At 36.2% G+C, this 11,294-nt stretch overlaps 1 pseudogene; it reads right to left on the bottom strand.

Moving 5' to 3' along the window:
• On the bottom strand, positions 2,885-3,955 carry DNAJC17P1 (DNAJC17 pseudogene 1; annotated as a pseudogene).

The raw sequence follows: 11,294 nt of genomic DNA on the forward strand, positions 1-11,294 counted from the left end.
AAAATATATATTATCATATATATTTTTATCATTTTTTTCTTGACATATTTTTGTCTTTATATCTAAATGAAAATGTGCTTAAGGCTTTCAAAATTACTCATGGAATCTTTCTCTGTTAGCATAACACAAAGCCGTAATCTGATAGCTCGATGATCATATTTTGCTGTATTGCAATCAAGTAAACTATCGTTATTTCATGGGAATGATTTTGGTTTAATATTGAAATGAAGTCATTCTAAAACTTTAGAGCATTGACACAAAACGGATGGCATATTCAACTTGAATGATTTTAGGGAAGTTTAACAAAGAAACTAGTTGCAAGGTGCGGACAGAGTTAATAGACAGCACTAAGGAATGGTCCATTACTCTGGTGTTAGTATGAGTAGGGAGCCCTCATCACCTACTTTTATCAAATTTGGTGTGTCTGAATTTTTCAATGTACACACATAATCTGTATCTTCTAAACTTTCTTAAACATATATGACATTATACTTATCAAAATATTCTCCAATTTTTTGTGTGTGCACTTCACATCCAATAATGGGAATTCTAACTGCCATATATTATTTCTTGGTATATATTTACCAAAATTTAAAACAATAAAAAATAAAGGGTTGGGAGGCCGAGGTCAGTGGATCACAAGGTCAGGAGATCGAGACCATCCTGGCTAACACGGTGAAACCTCGTCTCTACTAAAAATACAAAAAATTAGCTGGGTGTGGCGGTGGGTGCCTGTAGTCCTAGCTACTAGGGAGGTTGAGGCAGGAGAATGGTGTGAACCTGGGAGGCAGAGCTTGCAGTGAGCCGAGATTGCGCCACTGCACTCCAGCCTGGGAGACACAGCGAGACTCTGTCTCAAAATAAATAAATAAATAAATAAAAAATAAAGGGTAAAGAAATGTGAAACAAAAATACATAAGAAGAAAGAACTAAATAAGTAAAATTGATGAATAAGTAAATAGTAAATAAAGAGAAAATGCTTTAAAGCTGTAAAAAAAAAGTTTATTATAGTAAGTGGATCTATTTCCAAATGACTGCATTAAAAAGTAACCCATTTGTATGAATAAAAACACTACCTACTTTTGTTATATAATGTGATCGATGACATAATATTCTGAGTACTTATTAAACATTAGGAAATTTTATTGCTGATTTTTACAAACGAAGTCTACATTTCTCCAAATAAATAAGGGGATACTTCTCAATTTTTCTTTCATTCATCCCAAGCAAGCACAGTTCAAAATATTGCTAGTTTCATAAGAACATCTGATTGGTGATTTGACTAAGTCATCACCTAGAAACTCGAGTCTGGAAGCTTTCCAATGAATGAAGCTCGTTTCTGATTCTCATCAGTGCTTAGTGTAATGAGTTTATGTTCTTCTCCTAGATTATTTCTATTGATTGCTCTATATATTTCTCTGAGCTAAAGAAACATCATATCTTACTTGTTTATATGTCCCTGCCTATTTCTTGTTTAATTTTATTATTTTTTTTCTATGTGGTCCAAATCTGTCTAAGGTGAGACTGCTTTGCAGGTAGTGAAGGGAACCCTGGCTGGGCCAGGATAGCAGGCAACTCATGTCAGTTATTGGGTTCTGGGAGAATGAAAATGTAATGGAATTACCCAGCTCTCCCTCCACACCCTCTACCACTACTTCAGTAACAGACAGTAAGAAAGACTAGACAAATTCTTTTATTACATATTTATTGGGAACATAATGATTTTACTGAATATGTTCAGATAGCTCAGGTGAAGCCCAATAAATGTCAACTCTGAGAAGCCTGAATTTGAAATCACGAATATGAATTTTGAACTAAGAGTAGTTAAGGAAGCACAAGACATAGCAAAACAAAGGACAAATAACAAAATAAATTTAAGAACCACTCATCTGCCATAATTAAATTTATCAGTATGTGAATATAATCTGCTTAGGCTTGTTGGCTGAACTTATAAATCCTAAAGAAAGATGCAATCTCAGTTAGTATTTCTACCCATAAGTGAAAACCTAGTATAGCAATTTTGTGAGGAATTTCTAGTATTTAAATTATACTTGGAATTATATGTCTGCATTTAGAACTAAGCCACTTGCTTGTGAAGACAGGAATTTGATCATAAGTTATCTGTAAGGTTTATGTAAGTGTCCATACTTTATGAATGAGAAGACCAAATCAAAATGATGTTGCAGTCTCGGTTTATTCAGTTATGCTTTTATTGCTTGACTTTTTTACTTCCATGCAGTTCATTGATGACTTAGTTTTCTCCTCAGATGACTAAAGATAACTTAAAGTATCCCTAATAATCATTTGTGTCAGTTGTCAGTTTATTATTTCTCGGCTCTGAATTCACATTTCAACGTATGCTCTAAAACAGAATATTTTAAATAATTTTTCCTTTGATAAGAGCAGTAGAGGGTGCTTGAGGAATAGTGCAGTAGAAAGAGACTTCCTGTGTGAGCCGGGTGTCAGCAGGACTGGGGTGAGGATAGCTAGTAGAGCCTGCCCCAGTCACCTGCCCAGCCTTTGTCCCTCTGTGACATTGCAGCCTCTGTCTGGTGATTATCTTTGCACAGCACTCTCTGGAAACCGGAGCTCCCACAGACTGTCCGCTCTAAAGATCTCCGGCCCCACCAATTGCCGGGAATCCCTTGGATACACTTGCTTAGAGTTGTTGATCCCCTACACCCTGCAGGTGGCCTTTCACTTGCCAAGGAACTCGGATCAGCTGTGGTCTGACCAAAATTGAGAACTTTCCTGGTATCCAGTGAACTGACCCACATTTTCTCCAATAAAGTCTGAACACCTTCCAAGTTTGTCCTTGAGTACTCTGCATCAGCCCTAAGATACCATACAGAGTTTCCTTACATCTTATCATTCCTTCTTTTTTTCTTAAAAACAGACAAACAAAAGTTTATTGGTGACGTTAAAGAAAAAGGCTGCCGGCGGGTGGCTGGAGCCAGGGTTACGTGGGCTGCCCCTCTCGGTCTTGCTGGTGCATGTCTGAGATCAGCCATTGCAGCTCGGCCGCATGGCGCATGTGCATCACGATGACGCTCTCGTATTCCCTCACCGACAGCACTGAGCCCTTTGACAGTGCTGGGCGGCTGGGGCCCACGGTGCTCTGGGGCTGTCCCTCCAACCAGGAAATCTTCAGAGGGTTATCCACCAGGCCAACTTCATTCTGGACAGCCAGCTCCGCAGCCTTGGCAGTCGCAAACTCCACCACAGCAGTGCCTACCTTCTTACTGGAAAGCACCAGGTTGAGAACCTCACCATACTTTTGCAAAAGCCATAGGAGGACGTCTTTGGAGTAGCCACCTTTTGACTCCCCCCGAGCCTTCTTGCGCTTCCATTTTAGCTTTAGTTTGGGGGTTCCTTGGCCTTTAGTATTTTGTCTTTCCTCTCAACCTCTGGTCACGCTCCTGGTGTATCTGCTCCCAGATCAGCCTCTGCTCTTCCTCCAGCTGCCGGGAACCCTCTTCACTCAGGCGTTTGATCTCTCGCTCTAGTGTCCTGGTGCTCAGGCTCTCCTCCAGCTCCTCCTCCTCTTCCTCCTCCTCCTCCCCCCTCCCCTTCCTCCTCCTCCTCCCCCTCTCCCTCCCCCTCCGCCTGGTGCTGCCGCTCCCGCTTCCGGGCCTCCAGATCAAGCTTCACTTTATTCCTTTTTTCATCTAGTTTCTGAGTCCTCTCTGCTGCCTGCTTCTTGGCTTTCCTGACCTTGTCATACGCAGCCCCGGCTGCAGCATCGGTCAGCACCTCCAAGGCCTGAGAATGCTGGTGGAAGAGTTCAGCTGCCAGTGGAAGAGTTCAGGGTAGCAGGAGGAGGCCTTCTGCCTATATGCCTTCTCCACCTCTTTGTCTGCCACCTTCTCCTCAATGTCTAGCAGCGCGTACAGGTCCATCTGTAAGATCTTGCTCCTTGGTCACTGCCATGGTTCTGACCTGACGGATTCGTACTCCATTTTTCTTTCTTTTCTTTTTTTTTTTTTAACCATACTTAATAGTGCTTTGTATCAAACATCCCTGCTAATCTACTGTGTGATGTTTATCTCCCAAATGAACCCAGACTGCCACATTATTTTGATTTGGTCTTCTCATTCATAAAGTATGGAGATTTACATATTTCTTAAAGATAATTTATGAACAAATTCCTGTGTTCGTAAGCAAAGCAAGTCATGAAAATGCATTGCAATATTTTAAAACAGCATTATTTACTTTTAGTTATGGATGATTTTAATAGCATACAGAATGAATGTGCATTTTCAGGAAAGAAGCATTCTAATTAAAATATTGCAGATGGGTTCCTGAAATAGGGATAATGTTTAACTTAATGGGATTTTTTTGAATATCTGTTCCATATCACGTGTTTGTGGATTTAAAATTTCTATTAATTTCCCGACGATTTTGACATTATCCTGTATTTAAAATTGGTGGGTGGGTGCAATTATACCTGACAGAAAAAAAAATGAGGGAAAAAATATGTTTAAGAAAATCATTAAAAATATGTACATTTTATTGATAGTGTAAAATAGAAACCTTATTTAACATTTTAATATTTTTCTCTCATCTTTACAAATACATTCAACAAGTTGAAAATAAGTTTCTAAGAATTGGTCTGTAATGGCCAGGCACGGTGGCTGAAGCCTGTAATCCCAGCACTTTGGGAGGTGGAGGCAGGCAGATCACCTGAGATCAGGAGTTTGAGACCGGTGTTATCAACATGGTGAAACCCCATCTCCACTAAAAATACAAAAATTAGCCAGATGTGGTGACAGGCACCTGTAATCCCAGGTACTCAGGATGCTGAGGCAGGAGAATCACTTGAACCTGGGAGGCTAGGTTGCGGTGAGCCGAGATCGCACCATTGCACTCCAGCCTGGGAGACAGAGTGAGATTGTGTCTCAAAAAAAAAAAAAAAAAAAAGAATTGGTATGTACTGCATTTACACATTTTTAAAATTGAGTATAGAAGGTTTGGGATCATGTGTATTATTCAGATTACATCAGAAGTACTAAAGATTCAAGCAAAAAATGCACTCATTCAGGAAAACCCAATTTATAGATGCTTGAGCTGAGAAATTCCAAGAGAAGGTTATAAGGCTATTAATTATATTTGAAGCCTACAAAGTTTAGTTCTACTTGTGTTTAATGATGTGTCTTAGTAATATAATGTATTAGAAAACAGCCCTAAATATGATCTCTATATAGGGTAATCATTTTCCATCCTTTCACTTTGTGAAAACAGATGAAAGGTTTTTGGATTTGGGGTTATTTTAATTTTACTTATTTAGGGGCACACTTTACCATTGCTCTATTAAACTTCGATTTGAGGAAAATTAATTTAACCAGTCTTGTCAGAAAAAATAGGATTTGCTAGTTTTCTGAAGGGACAGTTCGCTATAGAGACCAAAAATAACTGGCACTGTGGATCTACCCCAGTGATGCTTTAGTGATCATTACAGATTGATTTGCTGGGCTCTCTTTTTATGGCCTGTTTTTCTATTTTGGCTCAGCCTAGGAAAGCTGGTGTCTGGTGAATAACATAAATGTTATTTAAAATGTACACCTCATAATATCCCTAGTACTCTTAGGTTTATAAGGGGCATGCACATATATCATTTCAATTAATCCTTACAAAATAAACCATTAAGTCAATAAAACAGACACTTTCACAGTATAAAATTTTCAGAGACAGGGAAGTTAACATTTATCTTTCCTTGGACACATTTGGATGCATTATTAAAATACAAATTTTGCATGAAATATATCACTTAATTTTTCCAGCTCACATGATGTTACTTTGAATCTGAATATTGCAAGCCCAAAACGTAAAAAGATGAAAAAGTTTCTGTAGATGCAGAAAATATGGGCATAGCTTAACTAGGGTCCAATTCAGCCCTATCTACATCTAAGATTCATGTATTTCCACCGTACCTTAATAGCTCTTCTTCCTTCCTTCCTTCCTTCCTTCCTTCCTTCCAACAATGATTTATTTGGCATAAAATAAATGAAAGTGATGTACTTTGTGCTGTCCATACACCCAAGTGTAAGATTTAGTTCTTGTGCTGAGAGACATGTTTCACAGATTTCAAATAAATAATTATTATGCAAACTCAGGCCTTTTCAAATTGATCCAGTTATTTCCCCTTTATTTTGTTATAGCCTCTCAATTTTGAATATTGATTTGCTCACATATGTGAACAAATTCCATCCCAATAAAGATGGAGAGCAGAAAACAAACTTCTAACCCCCAAACTCTCATTTTAAAACTTGTTTTATATCGTTTGTTAGTTTGATGTTGTTGCTATTGTTGTTATTTTGCTGCTCAGAGAACTCGTGGTTAAAATTTACCTATACTGGGGGCTTATAGTGTGTCAGATATGTCCTAATAAACTAACATTTAAGGAGAGTTAAAGGACTTTATGATAACAAAGCATTATTACATTTTTAAAATTGAAATATAAAATATGTACACAAATTATAAGTGTATAACTTGATCAATTTATACAAAATTAACAATCCTATAGAATTTTCTTTAGTTTAAGATGCAAAACATTAGAAGCATCCTAAAAACCCCAGGAGGAAGGAGGTAATCATTAAGATATAGCATGAGATAGGATTCTGGTTGGTTTAAGTTGTTCTATTTCCTGATTTTTCTATAAATTACATGAGTTCACATTTTGATAATTCATTGAGGTTTATATTTTAATTAATTGTAAATAATTATCTTTATGTGTTACATTTCACACTAAACCCATGTTTAAAAAGAACAAACCAATGTATAGTGTTACATATTTTCATTATGTAAAACTTTTTTTGAGAAAATGTGCTTTGATATGAATTTTTGTTATTTGTCAAGAATCTTGATTTTATGCATCAAAATTTGCTAAGATATGTACTCTGCTTACTTCTTCATATCATGTAGCATTGTCAGACATCATCTTTTGTCTACAAATCTACACATGTATAAAAATTTTCATTCCATCTTATTCAAGTACATATTCTTATATGTACTTATTCAGGTATATATATATATAATATGTATAATCTCACTTTTCTACAAATCATGGTTTAGAAATTCTATATTTGCCAAATTTGTTGTTTATTTTAAAAAGAAAAAATATACAGCTTTTTCTTTTACCACAATATTTTCTCTACTTTGCTTTATTTACATTGCATGAATTACAAATAAAAGTGTCTGCAATGACAAACATCTCCACAGCTAGACATTTCAACACAAGCTTTTTCCTTTGGTTATAACTGTAGGTAGAAAAACTAAATGAATGCTACCTTCCTCAACTCTTCTGTGAAAATAATAATATTTTAATCAGTATTTAACTCTTACTATTTGGAATAACATGCACAATGTTAACTCTTATATATAAATTTCCTCTCCATCATCCTTATGTGATTTCACCTCTTTCTATGCCTTTATGTTCTTTTCTACTGATCCACTGTGCATTCTTTTCTCACTGTTTTTAGTGTTCTAAATTTTCTGACTTTATTGGAGAAGTGGGAAGAGCTCGATGGATATTATTAATTTATATAAACTTATTTTTCTTGAATTAATTTGATATTATGAAACATCTGGATTAGTGACTATTATTTTTATACTCATCTAAACAACTGATATGTTAAAGACAAAAGTCATTCTTTCTTACATATGTGGAGAGCATAGGATACCAAGAACTCCAGACAGACCATTCAAATTTGCTTTCAATGCTAATGAATTCTATGTGCTTTCCAACGGCAAAATCTTCCCTTTACACAGGTAATTTTTAAAATCACCTTTATATGGGTTGTGCAGATATGCCAATAGACATAGAAACAAAAAATATTATTTATCCTAATAATCTTGAATTAACCATAAATTTTCTCATATGATTTTAGATATATTCAAAAATATGATAAATGTGAAAGAGATAAAAATTTAAGTTTAAGGCCTGTAAATGATGAGAATATTGTGTCAATGACCCTTATGTGTTTCCCCCACCCCCCTTTCAAAAAAAATCTTTCTGAGACAGGGTCTTTCTTGCATAGGCTGGAGTGCAGTGGCACAGTGATAATCCACTGCAGCCTTGAACTCCTGGGCCCTAGCAATCCTCTCACCTAAGCCTCTTTAGTGTCTAGCACTATAGGTGCACACCACACACCCAGCTATTTGTTCATTTATTTATTTATTTTGAGATGGAGTCTCACTCTGTCACCCAGGCTGAAGTGCAGTGGCATGATCTTGGCTCACTGCAACCTCCATCTCCTGGGTTCAAGCAATTCTCCTGCCTCAGCCTCCCGAGCAGCTGGGATTACAGGTGCCCACCACCACCCCCAGCTAACTTTTTGTATTTTTAGTAGAGATGGGGTTTCACCATGTTGGCCAGGCTGGTCTTGAACTCCTGACCTCAAATGATCCACCCACCTCAGCCTCCCAAAGTGCTGAGATTACAGGCATGAGCCACCATGCTGGGCACACCCACCTAATTTCTAAAATATTTTTGGTAGCCACCAGTTCTCACTGTTCCCCAGGTTGGCCTCAAACTCCTGGGCTCAAGCCGTCTTCCTGCCTCAGCCTCCCAAAGTGCTTGTATTACAGGATGAGCCACTGCACCATCCACCTATGTTTTACACCTCCCTGTTTCCATGCTCTTTGCCACTTCACTTGGATTTGCCCATTGCTTGACTCTGGGTTTGGTCATGTGATTTGCTTTGATCAATTGAATGTTAGCCAATATCATGCAAATAGGAGTTTGAAATGTGCCCGTATGATTGGGTTTTTCTCCTCTCTCATTCTTCTATTAATACCACAAGGGCATACCCAGACTAGTCTACTGGAGGGTAAGAAATGTGAAGTGTATCTGAGTTGCTCTAGTCATCCCAGGTGTGCACAGCCTTGATAAGCAAATAGGCTAGTTAATCCCCAGACACATAAGTGGGCCTAGCCAAGAACAACGAAGTCACCAACTGACCCAAAGACAATTGGTGAAGTGATTGAAATTGAACATTGCTTATTTGTATCATGCTTTTTCTAGAGTTATTTAAATTTTAAGGTATGTTTTTGTGAAACCTTAATACAAATAATGATTTAATTTAAATTTAAGATTTTTAAGATGTTTTTACAAAACTGCATCTGTTCTAATTAATATGCTTGCAAATTAAAAATAAATTTAAATAAAAAGCAATTTTATCACCATTGGGTAATTTAAAAATTTATATTTAATATGAACACTTCCATGTAAATTTTAACTGCAGTGTGCACTTCATGATAGCAGCAGCTGCTTACTGATGGGTTTTTAGTTCTCAGCTATTTTGAGGGCTAAACCCCAGTGGGGACTTTGTCGGTGTCCATACCTATTAATAATTGCTGACAAATAACCAACACCCCAAGAGCAAGTTTCCTGTTGACAACTTGTGAAAAACAAACATATGGTAACTTTGCCATTATCTTAATTTTTTTACAATGTATATTTCACTGGATATCAAAGATGATATCATCTGTTTCAGTAAAGTACATGTGATTTTGGCAGAGAGTATGAAGAATTTTTCTTAATGTACTTTTTTGTCGTTGTTGTTTAAATATGGCTTTTTGAGGTGAAGAAAGTGCATCTGGAAAACACTAGATAAGCTCAAGTGTGACACCAAAGTAAAGAGATTCTGTTAGCAAAATAGGCTTTTTGTAGAACTTTTAAAAAATGGTATCTTCGAGTGTGTGTGTTTATTCATAGCATTTTCCTCTGCTGTTTCTTTATCAAAGGTAGTGGTGCCTAACGTAGCAATGTGAATGATCAGAATAGAAGCCTCTAGGAGACTAAATATAAAAGGACTTTTTCTACTGCTTCCCCACTCTCCACAAGATACCAGCCATAATACAGTATGGCCAAGATAGTAAATCACTTTTAAAACCCAGAAACTTCTTCTTTGGAATGGTACGTCCTTATGAAATCACAGAGGAGGGTTCCGTGTAGACATAGGCTTCTTAGAATAAATGAGATTAGTTTTCTTATGAAGGGTGGCCATAACTCATAGATTTTTATTCTCTCAAGAAAATTGTATATTGTTATATTTTGTATAGCAAAGTAAAAGTTGAATTCTCTCTCCACTTAGAATATAAAAAGTTGCCATTGACCGTCACTTTCACTCAAAAAAAAAATGTATATAAGCAAAAAAAGTATATGTGTGTGTAAATATATACACACACATATATACACATATGTACTTTTTTTAGAGAGCGAGAGAGAGACTTAGATCTACTCATATCAATAAGAAATATGCTATGAGGATATTAACGACAGAAAGTAGACTTTAAGACATCTAGGAAAACAAAGAAAAATGTATTGACAAAATAAACTATTAATCAGATAGCATAGCAATCTTACATGTGCATACTCTTAAAAGAAGAATTTTATAATGTATGAAGAAAACACAGAGAATTGAAGAGAGACAAACTCATGATCATAATTGAGGACTTTAATATCTGTTTCTCAGTAATTTTTAAAACAATTAGATAAAAACTGACAACTAATCTACTTGACCTTATTAACATTTATAGAACACTCTATCTAGTAACAATACATATTTATTTGAAATATATGGAACATTACATATATACTAAATAATGAATCTGGTCTCTCCCTCTCTCTCTATATATATACATTTTTTAAAATTAAATTTGTAGTCAATATTTTTGTTACTATGGCTCTGTAAACATTTTTTTTCCACTACTGAACTACCTAGTACCATGATAACTTTTTTATTTTTTATTTTATTATATTTTTCCATAAGTTATTGGGGTACAGGTGGTATTTGGGTACATGAGTACATGAGTAAGTTCTTTAGTGGTGATTTGTGAGATTTTGATGCACTCATCACCCCAGCAGTATACACTGCACCATATTTGTAGTCTTTTATCTCTTTTTATCTCTTGCCCCACTTCCATCCTTCCCCAAAGTCCATTGTATTATTCTTACGCCTTTGCGTCCTCATAGCTTAGCTCCACATATCAGTGAGAACATATGATGTTTGGTTTTCCATTCTTGAGTTACTTCACTTAAAATAATAGTCTCCAGTCTCATCCAGGTCACAGCAAATGCTGTTAATTCATTCCTTTTAATGGCTGCATAGTATCCCATCATACATATACATATATATATATACACACACACACATATATATACATATATGTATACATATATATGTATGATGGAATACTATGCAGCCGTTATATATGTATATATATACACACAGACACACCACAGTTTATCCACTCGATGATTGATGGGCATTTGGGTTGGTTCCACAATTTTG

Source organism: Homo sapiens, chromosome 2, assembly GCF_000001405.40.
Source record: "Homo sapiens chromosome 2, GRCh38.p14 Primary Assembly".
Taxonomy (NCBI): domain Eukaryota; kingdom Metazoa; phylum Chordata; class Mammalia; order Primates; family Hominidae; genus Homo; species Homo sapiens.